Below are 17,932 nucleotides of genomic sequence, written 5' to 3'. Positions count from 1 at the left end.
CCTAGCTAATTTATCTTTGTATTTTTTTAGTAGAGATGAGGTTTTGCCATGTTGGCCAGGCTGGTCTTGAATTCCTGACCTGAAGTGATCCGCCTACCTTAGCCTCCCAAAGTCCTGGGATTACAGGTGGGAGCTACTGCACCTGGCCTCATAATACATTTTTATCTGTAAGCTATAGTTTATTTTTGCCCCACATTTATAAGTATCTTGAGGAATAATGTTTAATTTGACCGGTAGTAAAAGCTGACTTGAAAGAATGTGGCAATAAACTTTGCATCAGAGCCAGGGGCACTGAGATGCACCTGTAGTCCCAGCCACTTGGGAACTTGAGGTTGAAGGAATGCATGACCCCAGGAGTTTGAGACCTGGGCAACATAGTGAGACCCTCCTATTTCAAAAAAATGAAAACTCTGCATCAGTTAAAAATGGGATCAGGCACGGTGGCTCAAGCCTGTAATCCCAGCACTTTGGGAGGCCAAGGCAGGTGGATCACTTGGGCCCAGGAGTTTGAGACCAGCCTGCAAAATACGATGAAACCCCTTCTCTACTAAAAATACAAAAATAAGCCAGGCATGATGGTGAGTGACTGTAGTCCCAGCCACTTGGGGAGCTGAGGTGGGAGGATCACTTGAGCCCAGGAGGTCAAGGCTTCACTGAGGCATGTTCGTGCCACTATACTCCAACCTGGGCAACAAAGTAAGACCTTGTCTCAAAAAAAAAGTTAACTGCCTATTTCAGCAAGAGGGATTGGGTAGATTCAGATGTAAGTGTTATAAGACTGTGTGTCTGTCCCAAATAACTAAGAAGATCTAGGCATACTTCTAGATGAATAAATAGTAATTTCCAGTTGAGATCCATTAACAAATTGGAGCTTTAGTTACCTAGAAGTAATTTAGTTAGGTTTCATCTTCAGAATTATCCCACATTCAAATACTTCTCAAAAACACATTTCAAAACAAAAACATTCATAAAATAATTAGTATAGTATTAACATCCATGAACTTTTAAGTAGCTAATAGATTGTTGAATCTAACCAGATTTACTGGTATATTCAGTGTTTCATCTTGCTTCCTGATCAGTGTTTCATGTAGCTTCCTTAGAATTCTTACTGTAATGGTAGCAATTTCTGAATCTTTAGTGATTTTTGTTGTTGTCATTATAAACTAGATATACATTCTTCAGGTAAAGCTTTCAAAATTTAACAATGTAAATGTGGAAACTGCTATAGAAAGTGAAAACATAGATCTTAACCCAGGTTTTTACTTTCATCATCCCTTGGCTCTCTTTCCTGAAATACTTCCCATAGTGTATGTATAAGCAGTGGCATGGACAAAGAACAAATGGAAATAGAAGTCATAAGATTTCATTGTCTGAGGGTTCCTATAAAGTCATGTAATTAGAGGTCTCTTAAATTTTTATTATATACCTTTTGATCTATATTATTATTGATTCATTCAGCAATTATTGCCTGTTACATATTATTCTTGATGTTGGGATATAGCAATGAACAAAAAATAAAAACTATTCATAAATTATATGCATATATTTTACTAATTAACCTCCATTTAAAATGTATTATAATTATATAAAGATTAGAGAAACATAGATAAACTAGATTAGTTTTCGATGTGCTACATGTGATCTAAGGCAAGGAAAGTGTGCACACACACACACACACATACACCTCATACCTATATGTATTTTTTTGGGGGGGTGGGGGGGAGATAGGGGTGTAGCCCTCTCGCCTAGGCTAGAGTACAGTGGTACAATCATAGCTTGCTGCAGCCTCAAACTCCTGGGCTCAAGCAATCCTCCACCTCAGCCTCCCATGTAGAATTACAAGTGCATACCACTATGACGTGCAAATTTCTTTTCTGTGTTTTTTTTTTTTTTCCTTTCTTTCTTTCTTTTTTATTTTATTTTTTTATTGGTGGGTATGCGGTCTGGCTATGTTGTCCAGGCTGGTCTTAAACTCCTGGGCTCAATCGATCCTCTTATCTTGGCCTCCCAAAATATTGGGATTACAGGCATGAGCCACCATGCTTGGCCCAAAGCATGTATATTTAACAGCATTATTTTTAATCAAGGAAAAAAAAAATCCCAGGGAGTTTTTTTTTTTTTCAATATGCTATTCTGAGAAAAGACTCCTTTAAAGGGCATATAATAAGTAATAATATCCTGTAAGTAAAAAACATATATTGATAAATATGACCTAGGAAAACAAAGGCTCTTTGTGGTCCTCAATACATTTTAAGAATATAAAGGGATCTTGACACCAAAAAGTTTGAGAACTGCTGCACTATTGCAACTAGTAATTTAAATATCATTCTTAGAGTTTTACATTATTAAATTGAAGTTTAAAAAAATGCAAGCTTTCTAAACCAGAACTAGAGTAAAAACATTAATTCGAAGTTTTTTTTCCCAATGAGAAAAATCATAGACTGTCACCTTTACCATTTATTTACTTGTGTCTCCTAGCCCTTTCCACGAAGAATAACCAATTCTTTAAAATTGGGAAGTATATTAAAGTATTACATTTAAAATTAAAATATATTAAACTTTCTAGCAAAGGAATGCAAATTAAAGTCAAATAGCCCCCCTGTGTTTTTATCCATCATATTGGCAGTAGTTCAAGCATTGTGGGTTGTTGCAAATGATGTTAAATGTCCATGCAGGTATTCTGTTGCTAACAGTATAAACTGAAAAAATCTTCTGCAGGGCAGTTGGCATTATGATATCAAATGCTTTGAAAGTCTATGTGCCTTTCAGTTCTTGGTGTAGGTATCCTAAAGAAAATTTAAGGATGGGACCAAAGATTCAGTTGTAAGGATATTTGAATCGTTCGTTGTGATTGTGTAGCAGTTCTCAAACCTTATACTTTTTTTTTTCAAGCTTTATGATCTTTGCATCGTCTTTATACTATTAAAATTGAGGCTCCCAAAGAGCTTTGGTTCATGTGGGTTACATTTACCAATATTAACCAATGTTAGAAATTAAAACAAACTTGAAAAATATTAATATATTTATTTAAAAATAATACGCCCATTACATTTTAACATAATTATTTTTATAAAGGACAAGTTTGAGCCAGGTATGGTGACCCAAGCCTATAGTCCAGCTACTTGAGAACCTGAGGCAGGAGGATTGCTTGAGCCCAGGAGTTCAAGTCCAACCCAGGCAACATAGCAGGACCCTGTTTTTTTTAAAAAAAAAAGTGCAAAAAAGACAAATATGTTTCCCAAAACAAAAGCTGTACTGAGAAGAGTGTAAATCTTTTAGCTTTGACTTCACAGAAGACAGCTATATTCTCATATTTGCTTTTGCATGAAATCTGTTGGAATATGTTGCTTTTGTTGAAGAATATGAAGAAAATTCAGCCTCACACAGATGTCTAGTCACAAAAAGTAGATGTATTTTAATGGCCACTTCAGATAATTGTGGATATTCTTTGATACTACACCAAAGCTCATCAACAAATGCTAGTTTTTTAAAAGTTAGAACAATGAGATTCTGAAAACCTATGAATGAACTTTTTGTCCCCTGTAACATTAAAATCCATAGGTCTGTCTTGTACTTTGAATGGATTGATTTTTTTTTTTTTAACCTAAGCAAGATTTTGTAACATCATGCGTGAGTCATTTGGGTATTGCAAATGTTGACATAGTATCAAAATCACACCAGTCTCATCAGAAAAGCCTTTTAAGTGTATTGAGAAGCCAACAGAGTCAAAGCGGTAGATACATACAAGTTTTCCAAAATTCTGATTTTCAGTTGAAAGCTTGCATTTTATAATTGGTGACAATTGCTGTTAGTTGTTTTCCTTGAAGTGATGGGCATGCTTTATTAATTTTTGGAAAAATTTCTGCCAGATATCCAATTCTGAATAATAATTAGTTCTTTTAAGTAAAAATTACATTTCATGAAAGCAGCAGCTAGTTTGGCTCACAGGTCGAAGAATAATAGCATAAATGCTTTTTCTCAAGACAACAATGCTATTTCTGTTTATGCCAGAAGTAGTACTTTATTTGTACCTCCAATTTTATCACTCAGAATATTAAAAACATATGTATTTAATGGTTGAGATTCAAGAAAATAGTTTTTACTCTTCTTCAAAGACATTCTTAAGTGAAGTCGCCTTTTTAAAATGTGAGTGCCCAGTGGTAAGGAGTAGACTCATGGCTTGAGGGTGCAGCCTTGGTCAGGGCAGAGGCACTCGCAGTTTCATCCTGCTTTGCTTTTGCATCATCAGGGCAAGTGTCAACACAGTGGAAAAGCCAAATAATACCTTGCCATTATTATGAAAAGAGTTGTGATCTCAGGAGCCCCCTGAAAGGGTCTCTGGATCCTTTGTGGGTCTGAGGATTACATTTTGTGAATCGCTGTGAATAATGCAGCATTAGAAATAATACAAATGTCTAAAAATTAGGGGTTGATTAAATAAATGTTATATGGAAGAAATATACTTTTATTAAAGTTTATGTTAAATACAAGCTTATAACACAGTATTTTTCTGTTTTTGGCACCTCTCTAATGAGGAAATCAACATTCGTCAAAGAAAGTGAAGGCGTTGGTTCTGAGTCTCAGTGCTTCCATTTAGTTGATGCCTTTGTGATTAAGAAAAGGGAAGTTGAATAGCAGGAGGGGGCAGTTACTGGCTTCTCCAGTAGGCTAAGGGATGTTTGTATAGCAACCTTATTTTTACAGCAAAAGGAATTGGCAGTGGTATCAATCATTTTTTGATACTTAATAATAATATGTGGAATGTGCCTTCAAATGAAGTTCCTCCAGTAGACTCAATTTATATTTAGGCATTTTCTGATTTACATTTTCCCGTTGTGTTCTTCTTAATTGAAAGAGCTTTCAGTTGCTGCATATTATTTAACTTCAGACTGAATTAAAGAAATGAGTTATAAGCAGGTTAGAAGGATACTGTTGAGTTGAGCCCCTTGGGCTTCCTGCTAAGACCTCCACACAGGGCGTTTCTGAGGTGTATTATCTGTACTCTGCAGCAGGGAGGAACACTTTTTGTGAGCGGCATCATTGAAGATAGGATGCTTTGTGCATCCGAGATATTTCTCTGTTATAGTGGAAGCCTAATAATAATCATGACTTGTCTTGAGTAAGGTTTAATATTTTCCTAAGCACCAAGTTCTAAGGAGGGTTTGATGTTTAAAGTTCCTTTCCAAATAGCCATTGTGTTTATTCAAAATTTTATGTTTTAGATAAACTTGGGTAAAGTATGCTGGAAGAATATATACAGCATGCTATGTACATAAAGTTTTAAAATATACTATACAAAATGTACGTATGTACTAAATTATAAGGAAAAATACCATTAAGATTTTAGATTTAAGTTTGAATAATTAATTCGAATTAATGTTACATGTGTTTTAGTTTGAAGGGCAACTTAAAAAGTTTGTATTTAGACATAAGGTATATTGTGTAAATTATTTTATTCAAAATGTTTTCATGGTATGAACGTTGCAAACTAGACATCGTGCCTGATCCTTTGATCTGTAGATCAGAGAAAAACTTGCATATTGTTATAGGATAATTTACAACCTGTTAGTCTTAAGAATAAACTGAAAGGAAGATGTAATACTTATCTGCCCTTGGTAGAACAGAACAGTTACACATCGTTAACTGTGTTTGATTGTTGGGTAGGTGATGGACACTAGGTTCTCTGCAGCTGCTCTGAGACTCCCCAACTCACTCCCCATCCTGCCCCCCAGTTAGGGTTATTTCACTAAGCATCAGAGCCAGAGGATAGGGGAGGGGAGCTAATGTGTAAGGAAATGGGTGATGTTCTTCTTCCTTCATTCTTCCTTCATGGTTTGGGGAACACTTACTCCTTATTCCCTAGATATTGGGGACAATTTAGCCAATACATTTACAAGTGAGAGCAGAGATATACTAAAGATATGCTAGGAAGGCACTAATAATTCTTAGACTCCTATAAAGAATGAGCAAGATCCTTCTGGTTGAAAAATACTGGGTAAAAATGAAATCGTTTTTCAAAGCCATTCATTTAAGAAATGTTACTTCAGGAGCCTACTACCATGCTTACAGCTGATTATTAGGTATATGTTAAGTTCTCTTTAGGAAAGAGAGGTCACAGGAAGCTGAAGATGGACTTCTGTGAAGTAAAATATGAAGAGTGGTTTTGGACATTGACCTAGAATGGAATAGCACTAAACTCTGGTGGAATTGTAATTGTGGCAACTTATGCTTATTATAGCCTAGGTAAATATTGACCAATATGAATGGATAAGATAGCTGCATTTTGCCCAAGTTTATGATACAGAATATGAATCATATGAGTAATGAATTGAATTCATTCTTAAGGATTGATTATTAGTTTGGGAGGCAGCTTGGCATGGTGAAAGGTGAGCACACCTTAGTTATAATTAACTGGAAGGTTGGTTAACATGACTTGAAGCAGGCAGGATTCACCTATGGAGAACAGAGTTCTATTTGGTTGTATATAGTTGAATATATATGAGTAAATAACATGAGCCAAGTTTGGGATATACAGGAAGTGAGAAGGGAGTAGAGATAGTTTGGTTGGGGGATATAAATTGTAGTACAGGAGAGTGCTGATAAGAAGCCATGGTAAAAATGACCAAAGATCAAAGATGCAAGTTATCAGTCCTGCTTTGTTGATAGTCAGTTGCTTAAAGGTTGTTTTTTTTTTGTGGTAGGTTTTTTTTTTTTTTTTTTTTGGATAGGTATAGCAGAGGTTGGGGGGAGGGTCACATATCAAGGTGGTCAAGTGTTACTTATGTAAACAGTTGGGTAAAATAGTTTGAGGGCCTGTTCTGTTGTTTAGACACTTGGTTTTTTACTCAGTCATTGTGGTTTTCAAATCTTAATTTGTGTGGTGTTTGCTCCTAAGAATACTTCTTCAAAAGACTATAAATGAGTCTTTGCGTGCATATTGAATCTTAGATCCCAAGACCAAAATACTTTTTTATTGGCTCTGTTTGCATAAACACTCTTCACCATTTATATGTTTGTGCTACTGTACTTTCATATATTTTCACACAAACTATTGGACTATTTATAAAACAAGACATAAAGATGTAACAGAGAAGGCAGGAAATACTTGACATTTGTGTGCCATATCTTACTCTGTGCTTCCTGTCAGTTAAACCACGATGAGAGGAACAGAGACACAGATGTACAATTGCTGCTTTAATTTGCCACTGGGGAGACCAGTTAAGCATAAAGCTAGTTTTATTAAACTTTTGTCACTTGTTGATTCGAGGGACGTTGTAGGCTTGTTTGGTATTATATGGATTGTATGCATCATGTGGTGGCAATTAGATGTTTGCTACAGCACCTAATAGGAACATATATCTTTTACATATTTAAAAGGTATTTACTTTTGTGACATTTTTTAGGCCATAAAAAAATTGGCATTTGAATTCATATATTTGATATAAATTCACTATGAAATATTAGGCTAATATTTTGATCTTGAAATTTTAGTATCTAATTATTAACTTTTATGTATTAGTATATCAGGATTCTGTAAAACTTTCAAAGCATTTTGTAGTTTACCAAGTAAATTCTTACTTGGTACAACTTCAAGATGAAAGATGAAATGGAAAGTTATAGAGGTTGACTTATCTAAGAAAATACAGTTAGTAAATGATGTTCAACTACAACTTGAATGCAGGTGTTCTGATGGTAGATCCTGTATCCCTAATGTTAGGGAAAAGGTTTGTTTTCATTAAATTCCTATTCTACCTGTTTCTCAGTGATTTTAACTTTTAGGGTCACCTTTGCTTATTCTTCCCAGAATATCCCCCACCCCCTTTCCTTTCATGTTCTCTCTCCTTGGAAAAAAACAGATGTGGGCTATTTCTTTAGAAATAAGTAACATGTTACTTCCTTATGAAGTTTTTTCAGGTTCTCACAGGTATTTACCCCTCTCTATTCATTCTGTCATCTTTTGGTTGACTTGTTTATTTACATTGTTTTGTAATTATCTGTTTACATTGTTTCTTTTTAGATGTTGAACCACTTTGGGACAAGGATCATATCTTATTTATCTTTATTTTTGTATACCCAGTAAATGGCATATAGTAGATTTCATAAATACTTGTTGGGGGAATAAATACATGCCTGATATTTATTTTCTTTTTTCTAGAATCATAAACTGGTTAAAGAACTATAATGTGAATCTTTTCTACAGGTTGCCTTTATGGTTTATTTCTAAGAAATAATTTTATTGTAAAAGTTATTTTGTACTTCAGCTCCACCCACCCCCAGTTTGTTTTTGCTGTTTATGGAAATGAGATATCTTAGTGAAATTATTAGTGTTTTCATCCTAGTTAAAAGTGGAGATAACATATTGGTCCATTAAAAAATGTAGCTGAAGAGCTTAATTATTTTAGCTCGCTAAGCATCAAAAATCTCTTACTTTTGGCTTCAATCTGGAAAAAATGTCTAGCCATTCATTGTGGTCCTGATATCTCCACTGAATAAATGGAAATAATAATTCTCTTTATTACTTTTTGCTTCTCCCTGTATTATTTTCTGTTGTCACCAAGTTTTTTGTGCCTCAGTGATTGGAGGGTTATAAATTGCAGTCGTCTTGTCAACAGAGCAATAATTTTCACAAATAGGACTTTAGCTTAGATCTGGCCATTCTAGGAATGTCTTATAAAGTTTATATATTAACAGTTTTTCCAGCCAAAAATTGATAGAAGTTACTATGTCTTTTTAAACAATAAATCTAAATGATCAAAGTCAAATTTAAGGATTTAATTTTTAAGATTGAAGGAAAAATTATGAAGCTATATGAATTTAATTTTTAAGGAGTTTTAGAAGAACCAAATAGTTATTTTGTTTATTAAAACTTAGGTAGACATGTGGAAAATAGTTTATAGGGTTTTTGAGTGTCCTTTTACATGTCAGACCTCCCTTTTTTGTGCTCTTTGTTGGGGGGTGTTGATGTATTTCTGAGTTTGGATCAGAAAAATACATATATGTACGTCACTTTGACAATAGTCAGTGAAGCTTAGCTTACCACCAGTTGGTTCTGGGAAGCAAGTACATGCATCATGTGAAATTCTATAGAATGCTAAAACAAACATATGAAAACACTAATCTTTTACTGTTTAATGAAGAATTTTAGTAAGTAAATATTAAGAAAATAAAAGGTCCTTTGATCTTGACCTAGTTTGACTTTTTAATATACACTTTACTTAATATTCTTTTAAACTGTGTTTATTAATATATAGAAAAATTTATTATATGTCTTTTGTTTTCAAGTAGCTTATAATCTTAAGAGATGGGACATAGTAAATAATTACTGAATTACATGGGAGAATGAACTTTGCCCACTTCTGCTATAGCATACATATTACTATGATTTGCATTTGCCTTAGTTGATAGATTGTAAGCGCCTGTAGGGAAAGTCTTCTTAGCTACTTGTTGCTTTCCTACCCTTCTCCCTTACCCACAAGTGTCTGGCAGATAGGTCCCTAAAGAGTGCTTGTCCAAAAGAATATAGACGACACTGATTTATTTATTTATTTATTTTTTTGAGATGGGACTTGCCTTTTTTTTTTTTTTTTTAAGGTAAGGTCTTGCTCTGTGGAGTGCAAGTGGCTCTAACCTCAGCCTCCGAAGTAGCTGGGACCACCAGCTCATGCCACCATGCCCATCTAATTTTTAATTTGTGTTGAGATGGGTTCTCGCCATGTTGCTCAGGCTGGTCTCGAATTCTTGGCCTCAAATGATCCACCCACTCTGGCCTCCCAAAGTGCTGGGATTACAGGCATGAGCCACTGCACCTCGCCCTGATATGATTTCTGCAGGCCATCTACTATTAAAATATAGGAAAAGACAATATAGGAAGAATTATTTCTTCTTCTCCAGGTATTTCTATTTATAAAGGGGATGTTTTTAAAAATCCCAGTACACAGTGTCACATTTCAGTTGGCTCAAAGTCAAAATTAAATCAAAATGAAGGCGTTGAGGTTACCCCTAAGTAAATCAGCTTTACCTGGAACAGCCTCCTTTTGGATTTATCTGTACCTATTTCCCCCCCAGATTTTCCCTTCCCCTCACCTTATATACTCACAGATCGTCTCTGAAAGGTAAAAAAACTTCTCCCCACAACTCTTAGTCCCCCATTTACTGTAGGAGACGTCACATTCTCTGTGTCCAGTTGTCAGGGGTTGGATTGTAACTAGGAGTTAGATATTGAACGAGAGAGACAGAAGTTTCTTTCATGGGTTTTAAGATAACAGCCTATGTTGCCTGACAATCCCCATTTTTTTTTTTCTTTGAAGCAAGGTCTTGCTGTTTTGCCCTGCTTGGAGTAAGTGGCTGTCTATAGTTGTGATCACAGTGCACGGCAACCTTGAACTGTTGGGCTGGAGTGATCTTCCTGCTTCAGCCCCCTGCTATGGGAGCGTGCCACTGCATCTGGCTTTACATTTTTAAAGCAGAATATTTTGAGGGGAAACAGAATGTTGTGATTAAGATCACTAGATTCTAAGCCCTATGAGGGCACAAATTTTGGTCGGTTTGTTCACTGCTGTATTCCCAGCACTTAGAACAGGGTCTCTCACGTTGTATGTCTGTTCTTATGCCAACCACGCTATTTTGGTTATTATAGCTTTATATTCTATTTTGAAGACTTGTAGTGTGGTGCTTCCAGCTTTGTTATTTGCTATTTGAGATCTTTTGTGGTTCCACAAAATATGGATGTGGTTCTCTTTTTAAAAAAAAGATAGATGGAGTCTTGCTATGTTGCCTGGGTTGGTCTCAAACTCCTGGGCTCAAGTGATCCTCCCATCTTGGCATCTCAAGGTGTTGGGATTACAAGCATGAGCCACCATGCCCAGCCTTCATATAAATAATAATTAAAAAAAAATGTTGGCCAGGCACAGTGGCTCACGCCTGTAATCCCAGCACTTTGGGAGGCCGAGGCAGGTGGATCATGAGATCATGAGTTCAAGACCAGCCTGGCCAACATGGTGAAACCCCATCTCTACTAAAAATACAAAAATTAGACAGGCGTGGTGGTGGGCACCTGTAATCCCAGCTAGTTGGGAGGCTGAGGCAGGAGAATCGCTTGAACCCGGGAGGTGGAGGTTGCAGTGAGCCGAGACTACACCATTGCACTCTGGCCTGGGCGACAGAGTGAGACTCTGTCTCAGAAAAAAAAAAAAAAGTGTTTTTCCTATTTCTGTGAAGAATGTCATTGGTATGTTGATACAGATTGCATTGAATCTGTAGATTTCTTTGCGTTGTATCTAATTATTTATTTTATGATTTATTTTTATCATCTTTCCTAATCTCCTTGAGGACGTGTCAGATTTTTGTATCTATGCAGAGATATCAGTAGTTATTAGAGATGTTTAAGGATTAAATAAAAAGCAGTATACTGTACATGTTTTACTTTGTAAACCATAAAGAACTTATTAGACATTAGGTATTGCTAGTAAATAATAATATAAATAAACCTTATTGTGATATTGTACAATTCCTGGATGTGTCTTTATAGTAAAGTATTTTTTTAAATCTAGTAAGTGCCCATTACATCTACTGAGACAACTTTGAATTCTTGAACTTTCCAAGAGTACAACAAAGCGATAAAGCAGAAAACACCTCTGATAAAGACCCAGGTTCGGCCCAGTGTGGTGGCTCACGCCTGTAATCCCAGCAATTTGGGAGGCCGAGCAAGCGGATCAATTAAGGTCAGGAGTTCAAGACCAGCCTGGCCAATGTGGCGAAACCCCGTCTCTGCTAAAAATACAAAAATTAGCCCGGTGTGGTGGCGTGCCTGTAGTTCCAGCTACTCCAGAGGCTGAGGCAGCGGGAGAATTGCTGGAGATAATGACACTGTGCTTTAGCCTGCCAAACAGAGTGAGACTCTGTCTCAAAAAAAAAAAAAAAAAAAAAAAAAAAAAAAGCCAGGTTCAATGCAGCCTCATTTGGTCAACTAATTATTTTTACAAAAGCATCTTCTGAATGTCACCTTGTAAGAAAATGAAGATTTTGTGAATGCTGGTGATAGCAGTCTGTATTTCAGTGACGAAGAAAGGTGGTTCTGTTATTTATATCACATATTTCTTCATTGGATAACTAAGTCAGCATCATCTATTCAAAATATTTAATACTGAGAAGATATAGTCATCCAAAGATGCAACAGTTCATATATTTCAAAGTTACACTGGTGTTCAAGTGAATGATGGGCAGTTTTGATGTTCAGTTGAATAATAAGAAGGATTATGTGGTAATTAGTCATACGTTTTCGAAAATCTTATTTTCCTATTTCTCCCCTCTTCCAATTCTTAGGTGAAGAACAAAAACATGGAGTAAATTAGGTGATTTAAAGAGTTTTGCCACACCCTGAGCAGAATAAAAAGCACTGTTGAGAATCTCTATTTTAAGTAATTAATGAAGAATTTAAGGAGGGCAGTATACACATTGGTGATGCGAAGTTTTCAATGTAGCAGTCAAGCTGTGGAATGTCTTTTTAAACTGTCCTCATCGTTTTTGGATGGTGGTTGCCACATCCCACTTACATGACTTGCATTGGGCTTTATAGTCATCGACCACCATCTATTGTTGCAACCCAGTTTGATAACCTCCAGCAACTTTTTTTACTTCTTCTCAAATCATGCCTAAATTCTACTGCCTGACTTTCTATTTCCCATTGTGAACTCTTAGCTCTTATCAGGCTGTTAACTATCTCTAAACTTTGGTCATTTTTGAGTCTCTGCATTCTTTTGTGTCGGCATTCACGTACGCATACACGCACAGACACAATATATTTTTACTATCTTTTCCTTTCCCCTTTAGTCTCTCCAACTCCTACCTTCCTTCTGAGGTTCAGTTTAGTTCCCACATTATCTGTGAAGTGTTTTCTTTACCTGTTTGACCATCTCGTCTTCTAAAATACTGCATTTATGCATTTAGTTGCTTCTCTCGGTCTTGTTGCAAAAAACAAGTTTCATGGGAACAAGGGCCATGCATTATCTTTATATTTTCCACAGTGCTGAGCCTAAGGGAAATTCAATAAATACTTAACAACATTTTACCACGAACTCCATCAATAATAGCACAGGTGCCTCTAAAATTAGATATTTGGGATCTTTTGATTAGTTCTGGATGCATCAAATAAGCATAACTAAACTATTCTTTTTTTGTTTGTTTTTGAGACGGAGTCTTGCTCAGTCGCCCGGGCTGAAGTGCCTCAGCTTTCTGAGTACCTGTGACTACATGTGTGCACCACCATGCCCAGCTAATTTTTGTATTTTTTAGTAGAGATAGGATTTCATCACGTTGGCCAGGCTGGTCTTGAACTCCTGGTCTCAAGTGATCTGCCTGCCTTGGCCTCCATAAAACAGTTTCCTATTAGAGAAAACCTAATGCCAGGATATTTGATGCACTTTAGTTAATAGTAACTGAAATGGATTCAACTGATTTAAAAATTGATTGAGAAATTATATTATGAAAGATGAAAGTCTAAATCTTTAATTGTTCTGTATATGTTTTACTTATTAATGGTATTTAAAGTTTGCTTCTATCTAAGATTTGTACAATAGTAAAATATAAAGTTAATGTATAATTTATAAATACCACATACAGGCATACATCAGTTAATGACTGGGATACATTCTGAGAAATGGATCATTAGGTGATTTCATCCTTTTGCAAAAAATCACAGAATGTACCTACACAAACCTAGATGGTATAGCCTACTACACACCTAGGCTATATGGTATAGCCTGTTCTCCTAGGCCACAAACCTGTACAGTATGTTACTGTACTGAATAGTATAGGTAATTTTAACACAATGGCAAGTATTTGTGTGTTTAAACAAACATAGAAAAGGTGCAGTAAAAACATGGGGACTACTGTTGTATATCTGCTTCATTGTTCACCAGAATGTTGTTATGTGGCAAATGACTGTATATATCTTACAGTACTAAGCCCATGGCCTTCCATATTTTCATTTCTCATCTTGTGGTTTTGCTGCTTCTTTTGTTTTGTTTTTTTGAGACAGGGTCTCTCTGTCTTCCAGGCTGGAGTACAGTGATGCTATCTCAGCTAACTGCAACCTCCACCTTTTGGGCTGAAGTGATCCTCCCGCCTCAACCTCACGGGTAAGCTGAGACTGCAGGCTCCACCACACCCAGCGAATTTTTTTATTTTTGTAGAGATGAGGTTTCACCTTTTTGCCCAGGCTGGTCTCAAACTCCTGGCCTCAAGTGATCTGACCACCTCGGCCTCCCAAAGTGCTGGGATTATGTGCATGAGCCACTGCGCCTGGCCTGCTTCTTGTTTTTTGGGTTCATTTGAGTTTAGAAGCTTAGATGATTGCCAGACAGTTACAAAGATGATTGTAGGAAGAATCTCATTTTAAAGATCCTGACATGAAACATCAGAACTCTTTGATGATATCCAAGCTGACTTAGAATCGTTTTATGTAATTTAAAGAAGAAAAGAGGATATTGAGTGTGGTGGCTCACACCTGTAATCCCAGCACTTGGGAGGCCAAGGTGGGAGGAATGCTTGAGCCTGGGAATTTGAGACCAGCCTGGGCAACATATCAAGACTCCATCTCTTAAAAAAAAAGAAAAAAGATGGCCGGGTGCAGTGGCTCACACCTGTAATTCCAGCACTTTGGGAGGCCAAGGTGGGTGGATCACAAGGTAAGGAGTTTGAGACCAGCCTGGCCAATATTGTGAAACCCTGTCTGTACTAAAAATACAAAAATTAGCCTGGCGTGGTGGCGGGTGCCTGTAGTCCCAGCTACTCGGGAGGCAGAGGCAGAAGAATCGCTTGAACCTAGGAGGTGGAGGTTGCAGTGAGCCGAGATTGCACCACTGCACTCCAGCCTGGGCAACAGAGTGAGACTCCGTCTCAAAAGAAAAAAAAAGATTAAAATAATAAATGAAGAAGAAAAGAGGTAGACTGTGAAAACAGATCATTCAGGGTTTTTTTTCACTCACACAGGGAGCAGGAAGTTTTGTGCACAAGGAATCATAAAGTCTTTCAAATGTGTTGGTAACTTGGGAAAAGATGGAAATGTTTATTTCCCTGGAGATTATGTCCTTAAACCTGGTTGCACTGTGACTTGAAAGAGGATCCTAAAATGTCACAGGAACAAAAGGTTGTGATTGTCAGAGAGTAGTTGGAAAGGTCTGGATTCGGTGGCAGTGAGTACAGACAGAAGGCCTGGAAAGAGGTAGTATATATTGGGTTCTTGGTGAGATTAAGGCAGGGCTGACTTCGGCTTCTTCAATAGTGGGATGGGGAAGTTGGGGAACTATAAAATGCAGAACTGCTGGATTGTTGTTTTTGAGATGATAGTGAAGAGTATTAAGATTGTGTTGGAGCTATAGTTTAAAAAAAAAAAAGACTTTATTTTTTAGAGCCATTTTAGATTCACAGTAAAATTGAGAGGAAAGTACAGATTTCCCATATACCTCCTGCCCCTGCACATGCATAGCCTCCCCGTTATCAGCCTCTCGCTAATCACCTGCACCAGAGCGGTGCACTTGTTACAGTTGATGAACCTACACTGACACTTTGTCACTTGAAGTTCATAGTTTACATTAGGGTTCACTTATGGTGGTGTACATTTTATGGGTTTGGGCAAATGTCACTTAGTAATAAGCATTTAAGTTTCCACATGTCTTTTTGTGGCTTGATAGCTTATTTCTCTTTAGTGCTGAATAATATTTCATTATGTGGATGCACTACAGTTTATTCACCTACTGAAGGACATCTTCGTTGCTTACAAGTTTTGGCAATTATGAATAAAGCTGCTGTAAACATCCATGTGCAGGTTTTGTGTGGACATAAGTTTTTACTTCCTTTGGGTAAATACCAAGGAGCACAGCTCTATGGTGTAAGAGTATGTTTAGTTTTGTAAGAAACTGCCAAACTGTCTTCCAAAGTGTACCATTTTGCATTCCTACCAGCAGTGAATGAGAATTCCTATTGTTCCACATCCTTGCCTGCTTTTGGTGTTGTCAGTGTTCTGGATTTTGGCCATTCTAATAGGTTTGTAGTGACACCTCATTGTCATTTTAGTTTGCATTTCCCCAGTGACATATGGTGTGGGGCTTCTTTTCATATGCTAATCTGTATATCTTCTTTGCTGAGGTGTCTGTTAAGGTCTTTGGCCCATTTTAAAATCAGGCTATTTTCTCTGAGTTTTGAGAGGTCCTTGCATATTTTAGATAACAGTCCTTTAATCTGTGGTTTGTCTTTTCATTCTCTTGACATTGTCTTTCACAGAGCAAAATTTTTAATTTTAATGAAGTCCAGCTTATCAATTCTTCCTTTGATAAATCCTGCATTTGGTATCTATAAAAAGTCATCACCAAACCCACATGCATCTAGATTTTTCTCCTATGCTATGTTCTAGGAGTTTTATTGTTTCCTATTTTCCATTTAGGTTTGCGATCCATTTTGAGTTAATATCTGGGAAGGGTATAAGGTCTGTGTCTAGATTCTTTTTTTTTTTTTTAATGTGGATATCCAGTTTTTCTACCACTGTTGGTTGAAAAAACTCTTTTCTTTATTGTATTGCCTTTGTCCTTGACAAAGATGGTTGACTATATTTATGTGGTGCCATTAACCGTGCTCTCTATTCTGTTCCATTGATCTATTTTGTTCTTTCACCAGTACCTCACTGTCTTGATTACTATAGGTTATAGGTGTATTTTTAAGCTCAATCCATAGAATATTTCCGTTCACTTCTCCAGTCTAGGTATTCAGACATCCTGTCTTACAAATCTGACTACCATTTCCTCACACCTTCCACATCATGAGGAGCTATTTTAGCCTTGTTAATACATTTGGAGTTTTGCCTGTAGGTGATGGAAGCCATTAATTGTCAGAGAAGTAAGTTGATCATATTTTCACTTTTGGTAAATGACTCCTACTCCAGGCTTAAGAGCCACTGGAGTGGGGCTAGAATAGAGGTAGTAAGGGCCGATCAAATAAATATATGAAAGAGCATTTCACCTAATAATGAGCATGAAGTGATTTAGATGACCTTTAAATCTTGCTTTCAGTTGTTGGTGTGCCTCCGTGTAAGAGTGAAACTTCTTATAACAGAATACAGTTTCTACCAGAAGAGAGTTATGCTGTGTGGGAATTGGAGGTGGGGGAGGCGTGTCATGTAGCAAAATCTCCTGGGGAACTTTGAAACAACATATCCCTGGCTTTTCACCCCCAATCAGTGCCAGCATGAAACAGTTACTAATGGGAATCTGCTGTATTCTCAGATGGGGGAACCATTGCACTAGGGCATGTCTTTTCTAAGAAAATGGAAGTATTAACTGGGAGAATAAAGGGTCACAGAAATGAAACAGTTTACTTGCAAGTTAAATCTTGTTTGTTGGAGAGAGAAATTTTTTTAACTGCCTGAACAGGTTTTGCTGATAAAGACGTTTTAGCATGTTTATGTTTTCTTTTTAATGAACAGAATTAAAACAGTATCTCATAACTGTTAGATATTTCGCTTGTTTATTTCTTTCTTTTTGAGACTGAGTCTTGCTCTGTTGCCCAGGCTGGAGGGCAGTGGTGCGATCTCAGCTTACTGCAATTTCCACCTCCTGGGTTCAAGTGATTCTCGTGCCTCGGCCTCCAAGTACCTGGGATTACAGGCACCCCCCCACCATGCCTAGGTAATTTTTGTATTTTTAGTAGAGACGAGGTTTCACCATGTAGGCCAGGCTGGTCTTGAACTCCTGACCTCAAGTGATCTGCCCTCTTGGGCTTCCCAGAGTCCTGGGATTACAGGCATGAGCCACTGCACCTGGCTGATATTTCTCTTTTGATTTTGAATTCTCTTTGTTTTCAGAACATGCTCAAAAAAAGAGTTAAACTTGAGACCACAGGTATGGACAGGTCTAGGTATTCAGTCTGTTTGGCTGTTCTGCAG

The 17,932-nt window shown here is 36.9% G+C and overlaps 1 protein-coding gene across 11 annotated transcripts in view; it reads left to right on the top strand.

The window, feature by feature from the left end:
• ELF1 (E74 like ETS transcription factor 1) overlaps positions 1-17,932 on the top strand; it is a 129,468-nt gene that overhangs the window by 49,214 nt on the left and 62,322 nt on the right. The window lies entirely within an intron of this gene.

Source organism: Homo sapiens, chromosome 13, assembly GCF_000001405.40.
Source record: "Homo sapiens chromosome 13, GRCh38.p14 Primary Assembly".
Lineage (NCBI taxonomy): Eukaryota > Metazoa > Chordata > Mammalia > Primates > Hominidae > Homo > Homo sapiens.
This window is presented reverse-complemented; position numbering and strand designations above follow the sequence as displayed.